Raw genomic sequence first — 15034 nt, forward strand, 5'->3', positions numbered from 1 at the left:
AAAGTGATTTTTTAATGTTAGTAGCTATTTATACTTTATAGAGCAAATCTGATTTGAGAATTAAATAATTTTTTCCTAATTTGAAGATAAATGTTATTTAAAGATTATAAAATATCTAAATATTTTTGAGTATACATACATGCACATATATATGTACAATTAAGAATATGTATATATGTTACTTTCATGAAACATGATGGCTAAATGAAAGTAGAGTTAATTCACGAGCAGGGAAATACCCAGTCTTCCAGCCTTGTCGTCTCGGCCATTCATTCCCTTGAGAAGGCAAATTTTGTTCAGACACAAAAGAAAAATGTACTATTAAAATGCAATTCAGAAGTGATAAAAACTGTAAGTGCAGCAGCCGGCTCGCAGCACCTCCTTTGTATACTCAGGGACATTGGGGCCACATTAGTTTGTTTGTGTGTGATGTCCATCCCACATGCAAATTAGCACTGGAAGGACCATAATCTATCTTATATGAGAGCTCTTTTCCCAAGAGCATACGTAATACATGCTTCTGTAACTTTGTATAATTCAAAGCTCTGTATTCTGTTTATTTTTTATTTTAAATAGTGTTAGAAAATATATTCTTAGGAAAAATATTAAGAATTAATTTATTAATAAATATTAAAAAGAAATTGCAGAGAGGTATTAAAATTGATGAAAGAATTCTACTTTTTCTAAGTTTATTAAATGGCAAAAATAATAATTTTCCATTGAATTTAGACTTTTAAGAACACCCTTCTTTATCTTAACTAAATTAGATCATCTGTGTGAAAATTTTGGCATATAGTAATGGCTCAATAAATATATGTTGAACCTCAACTTTTTTTTTAAGTCTGAATTTCAGAATATTTTTCTCAGGAGAATATTTTATTTTGCTATTTATAGTTTTTATTTCCCAGAGCTTCCACTTTTCTCTAAATGTTTCTTTTATTTAAAAAAGCATCCAACTTTTATTTCATTAATACCGTATCTCCTTTGATTATATGTGTTAAAAATTTCTGAATTTACTCCTGTTTGCTGCATTATGATGTCTGTTTCCTCTAGCTTATTCCTTATGTTTGGATTTCTGTCCTTCTTCCACGTTGATTATTTTCCCACTGGTAATTCATTCTTAAGTTTATATTAAAAGGGAAAATATAAAAATTAGATTAGAAACTCTATGGGTGTAAAAGAGTGGCTTTTTGATAGATTTTATTATACTCTGATACAGCTTTTTAATCAAAACATCCCCAAATTGTTGATATTTGAACTCGTTTCTCTGAGAACTGTCATGTCTTTTCAGAAGATGCAATCAGTCTTCTGAAGGATATAAGTCCAAGCTGCCAGTGCACTTAAGAGACGAGCAGGGAAAGAGTTCAATGGCCAGTCTTTGGATTAAAATCTACATATTCCATTTGGTGCCTCCCCTTAGCATTCCTCTGTACGTGCTTTCCTTGAGACTAGAGCTTTTTGGTGTAAATTTTTCTGAGAATAGGCTCTTATGGATACATGGACTGGGACATGAACCTGGGGATTTCATTACTCCTTACATAGACTTTCAGCTGTTTTCAGCTTCATTCCTTCTCTCACTTTCTGCAATAACTGTAGATTTAGTTCCTGAGCTTTTCCATGGTTCTGCAGGACAAATTGCCCTGTTTCTCTTTGACATCTCATTCTTCTGGCACTTAGATTTCAGTTTTCTTAACTCTTTTGTGTCATTTATGAATTTTCTATCTTCCTTCCACCTGCTAAAATTAATTGGTATTTTCAATTGCTCTTTCTTATTTTCTGTCCTATTTCTTCTTATAGGTTTATAACTTTTTAAAAAGATTTATTTACTCTTATTTCAGTGTGTTTTGGTGAGGGATCTGGGTTATACTGAAAGCATATCACAATCTTAGATGTTCTGTGAGAGTTTATATGGGTTTTAAAAGTTTGGTCTTTTCTGTTGATCATAAAAATATCTAAAGTAATAATGATGATGGTAATGATAATGGTTGCTGCAACAGGTTCCTTCGATTTTTACATCTGCTTTTAGCACCAACATTATTTATTGGACACATTTTTTTCAGCCTCCATGTTAAATACCTTACATAAATTAAGTTGTTCATTCATTGTAATAACCCTATATGGAAGTCAAGGCTCATTCAGGTAACTTGCATAGGGTAATACAGCTAGCAAAGCAAAGCTAAGATGTGATTACAGGTCTGGCTGGCTTGAAGACCCCATTATTCATAACTGCTACCACTACCAATAATGCCACCATTATTGAAGTGACTTAAAATTGAAGAAAGCCTACTTCAGTAAGAATTGACTGTACTGGCTGTCCTTTTGATTTAGGGATACTATTTTAAAATTAAGAACATTTTCATTTATATGATGAATTTTGAGTTTTTGGCATAATTAATTCATAAATGTATTATTTAACATTATCTCTATATATAAAATACTTGAGACTCACAAAAATTCTGTGAAGAACATTTTAGTATCTCTATTTGCAGAATAGAAAATAAAGATTAATAGAAGTAATTAACACAGATAATCAGTGGCAGAGGTTGAAATGGAATCTAGGTATTCTGATTCTAAATCTTGTATCATTTTCACTGTACTATAGTACTTCTACAAAGCCTTATTTTAAAAATCAAATGTCTCTAGAAATCAAGTTAAGAATAGCTCTTAAATATTTCTTTCAGGTTTTTGCCATTTTCTTCATACCATAAAAATGAAAAGTACATCCCATCAATGCATTTATCAAGCAAGTATGGTCCTATTTCTTACAAAGAACAATTCCGAAGTGAAAATCCTAAGAAATGGATCTGTGACAAGGTGAGTTAACAAAACATTTTAAAAAGTTATTCCTTTTTAAAAGCTAGAAATATACATTAATTAGAGCAAATATAAATATTCTTATTACAATTAAGACCTTTATGGTAACAACATTTTTTATAGCTGTTTTAGGTAAAGATGGTGCTGCTGACCTATGTAAGATTTTTTTTTTTCAGTATTGTATTCTTAAGTTTTATGACTTAGCTATAACTTAGCTGCCCTAGGATCAAAGGCATGGATCATTGGCTTTGGCATATGACCAGGTGGTCAGGGCTTGAGTATGAGGTCACAGAATGGAGTTAAGCTAACTCTCAGGCATGGAGATCAGGGCTTGTTTGCTCTCTCTCAATCTATGTATGTATGTTTATAGATAGCTAAATAAAGAGGAGGGGAGAGAAGACAAGCATTATATAAAACATGATGTATAAATGTATAACATACATTTAACCTGCATATATGTATATGTGCAACTCCTGAGTGTCATATGCACTTTCATAACAGGTACAGCACGTATATGTGGCACTTATGTGATATATTAGTCTATACTCAGACTGCCACAACAAAGTACTATAGACTATGTGGCTTCAAGCACAGACATTTATTTTCTTACAATTCTGGAGGCTGGAAGTCTGAGATTCCTGCCAACATAGTTTCTGGTGAGGCCTTTCTTCCTGGCTTGTAGACAGCTACCATCTCCCTGTTTGCTCATATGACCTCTTCTCTCTGGGCAGAGAGAGAGCAGGCTGTCTTGTATCTCTCCCTGTAAGGGCACTAATCCCAAGGGACCAGGACTCTACCTTCATGACCTTATTTAACCTCAATCACCTCCTTACAGGTTCCGTCTCTAATACAGTCACATTACAGATTAGATATTCAACATATGAATTCTAGGGAAACACAATTCAGTTCATAGCCTTCCATTCCTGGCCCCCAAACTCATGCACTCTTGAATGCAAATACATTCTTTCCATCTCAAAAGCCACAAGAATCTTAATACATTTAGTACCCACTCTAAAGTCTAAAGTCATATCTAAATCATAGGAACATGACAAGGGTGCCCACTCTTTTTTTTCTGTTTTTGAGATGAAGTCTCGCTCTGTCGCTCAGGCTGGAGTGCAATGGCGCAATCTTGGCTCACTGCAACCTCCGCCCCTCAGATTCAAGTGATTCTCCTGCCTCAACCTCCCAAGCAGCTGGGACTACAGGCGCATGCCACCACACCTGGCTAATTTTTTGTATTTTCAGTAGAGACAGGGTTTCACCCTGTTAGCCACGATGGTCTCCTTCTCCTGACCTGGTGATCTGCCCGCCTCAGCCTCCCAAAGTTCTGGGATTATAGGCATGAGCCACCGCACCCAGCCTCAAGGATGCCCAGTCCTTGAGGCATTCAGTATAGTACTGGAAGTCCTAGCCAGAGCAGTTAGGCAAGAGAAAGAAAGAAAAGGCATCCACACTGGAAAGGAAGACATAAAATTGTTTGCAAATGACATGATCTTAAATATTAAAAACCCTAAAGACTCCACCAAAAGACTGTTAGAACTAATAAACAAATGCAATAATGTTTCAGCATACAAAATTAACATACAAATATTAGTAGCATTTCCATATACTAACAACGAACTGTTCCAAAAAGAAATCAAGATAATAATCCCACATAGGAATGAATTTAACTAAGGAAGTAAAAGATCTGTACATTGAAAACTATAAAATACTGATGATATAAATTAAAGAAGACACAAATAAATGGAAAGGTATTCTGTGTTCATGGACTGGAAAAATTTAATATTGTTAAAATGTCCATATAAACAAAGTGATCAACTGAGTCAATACAATCCCTATCAAAATCCCAATGTCATTTTTCACAGAAATAGAAAAAATAATCCTTGGCCAGGCAGGGTGGCTCATGCCTGTAATCCCAGCACTTTGGGAGGCCAAGGTGGGCAGATCACTTGAGATCAGGAGTTCGAGACCAGCATGGCCAACTTGGTGAAACCCTGCCTTTACTAAAAATACAAAAGGTAGCCGGGTGTGGTGGTGCCTGCCTGTAGTCCCAGCTACTTGGGAGGCTGAGGCAGGAGGATCACTCAAACCTTGGAGGCAGAGGTTGCAGTGAGCTGAGATCGTGCCACTGCACTCCAGCCTGGGTAAAACAGTAAGACTGTCTCAAAAGAGGAAAAAAAAAAAGAAGAAGAAAAGAAAAAACAATCCTAAAATTCCTGAACCACAAAAGACCCTGAACAGCCAAAGCAATCTTGAGCAAAAAGACTAAAGATGGAAGCATCACACTATCTGATTTCAAATTATATTACAAAGTCATAGTAATCAATACAACATGGTCCTAGCATAAAAAATAGACACATCAAACAATGGAATAGGATACAGAACCCAGAAATAAATGCACACATTTGTGCTCAATTGATCTTTGACAAAGGTCCCAAATACACACAGTGGGGACAGGATGGTCTCTTCAACAAATAGTGATGAGAAAACTGTATATCCACTGCAGAAGAATGAAAGTGGATCCTTATCTCACACCATATGCAAATATCAACTAAAACTAGATTAAGACCTGAAACTGTAAAACTACTAGAAGGAAATATAGGAAAAAAGCTTCTTGACATTGGTCTAAGCAATTATTTTTTGGATATGACCCCAAAAGTATAGGCAACAAAAGCAAAAATAGACAAATAGAATTGCATCAAACCAAAAAGCTTTGCACAGCAAAGGAAATGATCAACAGCGTAAAGAGACAAACTATGGAATAGGAAAAAAAATTTGCCAACCATACATTTGATAGAGTTAATATCTGAAATATATAAGGAACTCATACAACTCAATAGCAAGAAAACAAATAACCTCTTTTAAAAATGGGCAAAAGACTGGAATAGACATTTCTCAAAAGAAGACATGCAAATGGCCAACAAGTATATGAGAAGATGCTCAACATCACTAATCATCAGGGAAATGCAAACAGAAACCACAATGAGCTATAACTTCACACATGTTAGAATGGCTATTACCAAAAAGACAAAAGATAATGTATTGGCAAGGATGTGGAGAAAATGGAACACTTGTACACTATTGGTGGGAATACAAATTAGTACAGTCATTATGGAAAATGGAGGTTCTTCAAAAAATTAAAAATAGAACTACTGTAAAATCCAGCAATCCTATTTCTGGGTATAGATCAAAGGAAGTGAAATCCATATATTGAAGAGATATCTGCAGCCCCATGTTTACTGCAGCATTTTCAAAATCGCCAAGATATGGAATCAAACAAATTATTCACTGAATGACAAATGGATAAAGAAAATGTGCTAGATGTACACATTGGAATACTATTCAGCTTTTAAAAAGAAGGACATTCTGTCATTTGTGATAACATGGACAACCCTGGAGGATCTTACACTAACTGAAATGTTAGGCACAGAAATACAAATACTGCATGGTCTCATTTATATGTGAAATCTGAAAAAAATCAAACTCAGAAGTACAGAGTAGAATGGTGGTTACTAGGAACTTGAGGCAGGAGGTAGGGGTGAGAAATGAGAAGGGGATGTTTGTCAAAATGTACAAAGTTTCAGTTAGGATGAATAGTTCTGGAGATCTATTATACAGCATGGTGACTAAAATTAATAATGTATTGTATACTTGAAAATGACTCAGCATAGATCTTAAATGTTCTTGTCACAAAATAGAAATAACTGTGCTAAATCTTATGGATATGTTAATTAGCATGATTGTGGTAATCATTTCCTAATGTATATGTATAGCAGAAGATCATGTTGTACACTGTAAATATATACAGTTTTTACAAATGGCCAACAAGTATATGAGAAGATGCTCTGCATTATTAATCATCAGGGAAATGCAAATAGAAACCACAATGGCATATAACCTCACACATGTTAGAATGGCTATTAACAAAAAGACAAAAGATAACATGTATTGGCAAGGATATGCTGTGTTCATGGACTGAAAGAATTTAATATTGTTAAAATGTCCATACAACCAAAGTAATCTGTTGAGTTACTGCAGGTGTATTTAATTTGTCAATTATACCTCAGTAAAGCTGTGGGAAAACAAACAAGAACTACCAAGAAATACCATATAATCAGATATGGGAGAAACTTGCCTCATCCTGAGGCAAACTTCCTGTGTAGCTGTGAACCTGTGAAACCAGACAAGTTACGTGCTTCCAAAATGCAATGGTAGGACAAGCAAAGGGGTGATATTTCTATGCCAAAAGGGAAAAATTGGAAGAAAGGAATGGATGATATGTCTCAGTGAAGTCTAAAACCTAACAAGGCAAATTCTATTTCATGTTAAGACTTGAAAATAATCCTTTTTGGTTCAATATTTTGCTCTCCAGTTCCTCTGGGATGGCAGGGTCACCCTGATGGCTCTGTGGGTGAGGTAGAGTCTCTCTGCAAGGGTCCTGCCCACATAGCTCCGTGTAAGGGTGGGCCCTGCCCTAGAGGAACTGAACAGGGTCATCCTGCCCCACAGAATCTAGAGAGGCGGCCCCACTCTTTGAAACCTAGAAGGAAACGGTCCTGCTCCCTGGGCCTCTTGCAGGAGTAGCAGCCCCAGTGATCTCTGAATCCCCTTAGGGGTCATTCGTCCCTTTCCTTGAATAGTGGTCCAGTCCCTGTAGAACCCAAGAAGTCCCACAATCGGCCTTAATTCTTTTCTGCTTTCTCTGCACTATTTACTTCAAACTCTTGGCATCTTAGCTGGTATAATCTCATCTCTGTTCCTGGCTTCTGTCAATAGAGCTGATGAAGTCCCTGAGTCCCATCATCTCTTTATCTATTAGTCAAGAACTTTTTCTAGGCACTGGAAATATAAGGTATTGTTTCTACCATGTTATGCATTTTTTTAGCAATATGTTCCTACTCTAGCTCAAAACCCAGCACTCACAGACTGTTATGACATCATTTAATCTTAATCACCTTCTTAAAAGCTCTGTCTCCAATATAGTCACATTGAGAGTTAGGCTTCAATGTGACCACATGAGTGGTGGTGGGGGTGGCTACAAAATTCAGGCTATACCATGTAACATACAAGTTATATATGCAGCGCACATACAGCATGGTGATTATAGTTAATAATAATGTATACTTGTATACAAACATACATATACATACTTATCTTTGTGCTGCACTTATAGATAGGGAAAAAAATTGTGTGACCCATATATACCATGGAATACTATACAGCCATAAAAAATGAAGTCATGTCCTTTGCAGCAACATGGATGCAGCTGGAGGCCATTATTCTAAGTGAATTAATGCAAACATAGAAAATCAAATACTGCATGTTCTGACTTATAAGTGGGAGCTAAACGATGAGTACACATGGACATAAAGATGGAAACAATAGATACTGGGGTCTCCAAAAGAGGGGAGGGAGGGAGGGAGGAAGTGGGGCAAGGGTTGAAAAACTACCTATTGAATGCTAGGTTCACTATTTGGGTGATGGGATCAATAAAAGTCCAAACCCCAGTATTACATAATATATTCATATAACAAACCTGTATATGTACACCCTGAAATGAAAAAAAAATCACATATAAAAGGAAACCCATATTACTCTCTAAGGACATTCCTAAGAGAGTTTGCTTTTCTGAAAACATTTAGTGTAAACATCATAACACTACATATTCTGCAAAATTTAAATGTTATGGCTCATCGTATTATGTTTTATATCTATAGCTTTTTAATTTAATTTTTGGCTTAGAGTAAAACTTTCAATATATCTGAATGAACAGGATAATGTATATGTATATTTATTGCCCATATTACAATTCAATAAGGGCTTCAGAATTAAGAACATTAGTCAAAAAACATGATATATAAAGGAAGAAAGAAAAAAATATTTTTTTATCTGATTTCAAAATATTTTTTACCTCTTAAATAAAAATGTCTGAATTGGGAAAACATGTCTTAGACTATAAGAGATGAAAAGGGAAGGTTCTTACTATGCGTTTAACCTGTTGTTTCTTGTAGGGAGAAAATACAATTTCTTTTCTTTCCCTCATACATTCTTAGTTGAGATACTTTCCTGAAAAGTCAGATTAACAAGAGAAAAACCCAGTCAAAGTGTATTAACACATGCCATACCTATCACATGGAAGAGGCCTCAGTTCAAAAGTATTTCTCTCTCAAGGCATGGCACAGGAGCCTTGCATAAACAGCACTTTAATAAAGAGCCATACGTTCTATATAGTGACAAAACAAAGAATAGAGTATCTCCAGCCTTCCAAAAAGCAGGAAAATATGGGAAGATACATTCATGGAAAGAACAAAGTCTCCTCCAGGATCTTCTGACTCTGTTTCTGAGATAAGCAAGTGTTGTACAAGTGCCTGCCTTCAGGTGGGAAAGGCAAAGAGAAGGGCAGAATGTGCCCCTGCATTTTAACCTTCTTTAGCTCAGTGATCCCCAGTATTTCAGAGAGGAATATTTTGGTTTCCTTCACTAACAATTAAAAAATACACACACACACACACACACACACACACACACACACCCCCCTCAGAATTTATACAGAATGAAGTAGTGACTTTCTGGAAAGGAATTGGGGCCACTGGAAAGGGTATGGGTTCCACATACTACCAGATCTAATGATTCTATTAATAGTCTATCAGTGAGGATTCATTCATTTGCATACCGCCTCCTTCCTGAAGGGATTTAAGGCATCTTTCTAAAAGCAAAATGCAGCTTGGCACAGTGGCCCACGCCTGTAATCCCAGCACTTTGGGAGGCCGAGGTGGGCAGATCCCAAGGTCAAGAGATCGAGACCATCCTGGCCAACATGGTGAAACCCTGTCTCTACTAAAAATACAAAAATTAGCAGCTGGGTGTGGTGGTGCACACCTGTAGCCCCAGCTACTTGGGAGGCTGAGGCAGGAGAATCGCTTGAACCTGGGAAGCAGAGGTTGCAGTGAGCTGAGATCGCGCCACTGCACTCCAGTCTGGTGACAGAGCGAGACTCTGTCTCAAAAAAAAAAAAAAAGTAAAATGCAATAAGGGTCATATTATTGAAGTAAGGATAAGGGGAAATGGTCTAAGATGAGAAGAGTTTATATGCCTGCAACATAAAGGGAAAGCATCATGGTGGTGGTGATTTAAGAATTTCAGCTTCCTGGCATCCAACATAAAAAGGAAGACACAAGTTACAGATGGATCTTCCTTACTCAAAAGGAAGAAACGTTAGACCGAAAAGAAAAATAAGATGTTTCTTTACTAAACTCTAAGAAACATTATTTTTTAAGGACATTATAAATATGGGATTGCCAAGGGGTAAGACATGCTGGAAAGTAAATTGGATACTTCAGAAAGCAATTTTTTTTTTGTTTGCAGCTAAGACATCTTAATTAAAAATGGCCTTCAGAAACACTAGTAATTCCAAGGCATAAAGAATGTATACAGTGAGTCATTTAGCCTAGTTCACCCTTAGAACTGATGGACAAACCTAAATGTTGATGATAATATCTGTCTTGGTCTGTTTTGTGTTGCTATAACAGAATACCTGAGACTAAGTAATTTATAAAGACAAGAAGCTTATTTAGCTCACGGTTATGGAGTCTGAGAAGTACAATAAGGCTGACACTGGCATCTTCCTGGCTTCTGGTGAGGGCTTTTGTGCTGTGTCATAACATGGTGGAGAAGGTCAAAGGGGAAGCAGGCACATGAGGAGGTAAAACCCAAGAGGCGCATTGGATTTATAATAACAAACCCTTGAGGGAATGAATCCATCCTCATAAGAATCTAATCTAATCAGAGAACTCACTCACAACTACTAGAATGGCACCAAGCAATTTACGAGGTATCTGTTGCCATGACCCAAACACCTCCCACTAGGTCCCACCTCCCAAAACTGCCACACTGGGGATCAAATTTCAACATGAGTTTTGGTGAGAACAAACTCAAGCCATAACAATGTCATTTCATAAAATTCAGCAATCAACCTGTTCTAAGCACATGCTTTTAACTGATATGCAACCATTCAGAATGTAAGCTAAATATGCTTTTTAACTATTTATCTAATTTCATATTTTAAACATGTGTAATGTGATCTGTATCCCATTTTCTCTTTGACATAAACATTTGTTGTTTTTATACCATCTCACTGTTCTATTTAATTCAAGGAGGTGTTCATTTCTTTAAAATATAAATGACTTGTGACATTAAGCTGCTTCAGAGTAAGACATCTTCTTGTGCAAAATGTGTTTCCTAAAATAATGTAGTACTTCCTTTTGGTTTTATACAACAGATTCACTTCATATATTCTGAGGTATTTTTTGAGAATATGCATTTATTTAACCATAAAGTAAGCAACTTTATGGAAATATAGAAACTTTTGGATACACAGTAAAAAGAAAAGTAGTATATTTTTTATTTTAGAGGAATAATTATATGCCTCCATATACTTTTAGAAGGCATACATACTTAAGAAAAATAATCACACATTATTATTCTTGTTGGTCTCATGTATTAGTCTGTTTTCACGCTGCTATAAAGAAACTACCTGGCCAAGGCAGGCGGATCACAGAGTCAGGAGTTCGAGACCAGCCTGGCCAACATAGTGAAACCCCATCTCTACTAAAAATACAAAAATTAAATGGATGAGGTGGCACACACCTGTAATCTCAGCTACTTGGGGGGCTGAGGCAGAAGAATCACTTGAACCCAGGAGGCAGAGGCATGAGCCAAGACCATGCCACTGCACTTCAGCCTGGGTGACAGAGTGAGACTCTGTCTCAAAAAAAAAAGAAAGAAAGAGGTACCTGAGAATCTGAGACTCGGTTATTTTTAAAAGAAAGAGGTTTAATTGACTCAAAGTTCTGCATGGCCGGGGAAGCCTCAGGAAACTTACAATCATGGCAGATGGTAGAAGGGGAAGGGGAAGCAGGCATGTCTTACATGGCAGCAGGTGAGAGAGAAGAGTGCAAGGGGGAACTGCCAAACACTTTTTTAAAACAATCAGATCTCATGAGAACTCACTCACTGTCACAAGAACAGCATAGGGGAAACCACCCCTATAATCCAATCACCTCCTGCCAGATCCCTCCCTTGACACATGGGGATTAAAATTTTAGATGAGATTTTGGTGGGTACACAGAGCCAAACCATATCACCCTAAAAATTAAAAGAAAAATTGTAGGTATTCTTTATTTATTTATTTATTTATTTTTTGAGACAGAGTCTTGCTCTGTTGCTGAGGCTGGAGTGCAGTGGTGCAATCTCAGCTCACTGCAACCTCTGCCTCCCAAGCTCAAGTGATTCTCATACCTCAGCCTCCCAAATAGCTGGGATTACAGGCATGCACCACCACACTCAGCTAATTTTTGTATTTTTTGTAGAGATGGGGTTTAACCATGCTGGCCAGGCTGGTCTCGAACTCCTGGCTCGAACTCAAGCCAAGGCTTCCCAAAGTGCTGGGATTACAGGCGTGAGCCACCACACCCAGAGATTGTAGGTATTCTTTAAATCATAATAAATCATCAGTCCCTCCTACTCCATACAAAACCATGTAGAAAATTATTCAAAACAACTTTACATTTCTCCCTCCTTCCTTACCTTCCTTTCTTTTTTTTCTTCCTCCTCTCCTCCCTGCCTTCCTTATTTCTCCCCATCTTCTTATCTCTTAAAATAAACAACAACATTAAATAAACAAACTTACAAAAATTAGCTGGGCATGGTGGTGCACACCTGTAATCCCAGCTGCTCAGGAGGCTGAGTCAGGAGAATCACTTGAACTTGGGCGGCGGAGGTTGGAGTGAACAGAAATTGTGCCATTGCACTCCAGCCTGGGCAACAGAGTGAGACTCCACCTCGAGAAAAAAAAAAAAAAACTATGTCTCTGTGTGGTGGCTAGCATAATCTGTACAATACATAGTTAGTCATTTTATTGGCTAAACATAAAATCTTAGAATTATTAGAAATACTTTACAATTTGATTTGATATTAAGCAACTTGGATGGGACTTGCATTCAATAGGTTGCTAAAATACTTTTTTCTATACTTTTATAAAACTTTGTTTCTTGATATTGGAAATTTTAGGCTTCAATTTATTAATTATTGGTGGATTAGAGAAAATCTTAGGGAGACTAGAGACGTCACGTTCAAAATGTTGAAGAAAGAAAGGGCTGACATGATCTTATGGTTCTTCTATGGCAAGATGGAGTTGAATGCAGTAGATTGACTTTAGCCAAGAAGGCTCAAGCAAGTATATTTGGCTTCTGTCCTTTACTCTTCCCATTATATTTTAAGATTGTCTATGTAGAAATCTTTCATTCACTTATATTATTTTTAAACATAGAAGTCATACTTTTCAAATGATTTATTAACCAATTGTGTTAAAAGGTGTCAGTTGGCAGAAAATCAAAGGTAAGTAAATACTCTTCCTCTCATCACATTCATATTAAATCAATTTAATGTATCAAATATTATTTAAATTTTTGTTTTATTTTTAATGCTATTGAACTGAAGAGCACTATACAAAGAAATCAAAGTCAGCAAATTTAGAGCAAATAATACTATTTTTCTCAAAAGTATGAAAATCAATAATGAAAAGTAGCATATATATAATTTTTGAAAGTGTGAAAATCAATAATAGGATAATGTGCATACCATATAATTTACTCATTTTTTTAATCTATTTGCAAACTGCGCAAGTTAAGTTGTTAGATTCTAAGTCTGTGTCTTAAATGGTCGAACCTTTTAAGATCAGGTAAATTCTTTGTATTCATAAATTCTTTATTGTACTGATCTCCATATTTAAACTAGATGTGAAATTAAATAAGGAGAATCTACCCGTCAGTCATTATTAATTTAATCTATTTGGGTAGATCTAAAAGAGTTGGACAATAAAAAATTCAGTGTACTAAAAACATCCTTTTGGTTGTCAAAACATTCACATATGTTCATATTTACTGAAGCAGAAATGATATTCTAAAGCCTTTATCTGAATTGGAATGAGTTTCCATAGGCATTTTAGACAACTGATTTTAATGGAACCATTTGATGTTTTCCCTTGTTTGAAAAATTCAGAAAGAGACTCTTTCAAGATGGTTCATGTTGATAGAGCTTTTCCTCATACGTCTTATTACAGGTGAATTACAACAGTAGAGAAGTCCTTTGTTGTTATTTTCACATGCATTTTGGTCCTAAACAGGATTTTATAAGCTACAAAGCATAAAAATATCCAGTACTCTAAAGAATTAATTTAGAGAACCTCCTAAGCATATTGCACAGAACATAAAGTTGACCTTTGCTGTCTACGGCTTTTGGAATGGAGTGGGATGTAGAACACATCATAGATTTAATGTGGCACATCGTTGTCTGCAGAAACTTGGGTGGGACTGTGACTGCTTGCCCATTGCACCCGGTGATTGAATCTGCTGTCACCAGCATCCTGATAATAATGAACATTCAGCTTAACGACCGTGATTATGATTATCATAATTGATGTGCAAGTGCAGTGTGTGGGGATCATTACAGCTGAACTGTACAGCAGAGAAACATGCCTCAGTTATGGATAATTTTACTTTTATGCATTGATTGGGATAAAATATGCCTTTCTATTTAAACAGACCAGCTTCATATAATTTTAAGAATCTTTCCATACATGCTGATTGATGATTATGCACTTGCTGAAAAACAGCCCCTTACAGTTGTTTGTTTTGTGTTGTTTCATTTCATTAGTAAATGTAAACAAATAATTAGGTGTAATTGAGGGAAAATATTTTGCTTATGAGGATGGCCTTCAATAATCAAATACTCAGTTTAAGTGCTTTTTCTTTCTCTCCCTCTTTAACAATATATTAGAGACTGAATTTTTTCAGTTTTCTTCCTCTGATTACCCTTGTCTAGTCTTTCTAAGGACAGTAGGCTTCAGGAAAAGTATAAATTTACATGAATTTTTATTATAAATCTATAGATGCATTTGTATATGCATATATTTATATATGTATATGTATACTCTAGTCTACTATGCATTTCAGAAAATTGGGCAGAGCCAAATACTGTATTGTATTACTTAGTAAAATAATATTTAGCTTATAGAATACTTTAAATGTATTATATTAAGATATATATATTTATGCTACCTTTGCTTTTTAATCTGGTTTGTTTCTGATTAATTTGATACATTGTTTAGTGATTTCCAATTATGCTTTTAAAAATGATACAACAGGGTTCCTGATTTGAATTT

General features: G+C 35.9%; 1 protein-coding gene across 2 annotated transcripts in view; it reads left to right on the top strand.

Annotated features, from left to right (window-relative positions):
- Positions 1 to 15034, top strand: part of SPATA17 (spermatogenesis associated 17) — a 240353-nt gene that overhangs the window by 167693 nt on the left and 57626 nt on the right. For both annotated transcript variants that reach the window (NM_001375655.1, NM_138796.4), the window contains exon 9: positions 2682 to 2814. In NM_001375655.1, the coding sequence (NP_001362584.1) occupies positions 2682 to 2814 (133 nt within the window). The remainder of the gene's footprint in view (positions 1 to 2681; positions 2815 to 15034) is intronic.

The sequence above is a fragment of the Homo sapiens genome, chromosome 1, assembly GCF_000001405.40.
Source record: "Homo sapiens chromosome 1, GRCh38.p14 Primary Assembly".
NCBI classification, from domain to species: domain Eukaryota; kingdom Metazoa; phylum Chordata; class Mammalia; order Primates; family Hominidae; genus Homo; species Homo sapiens.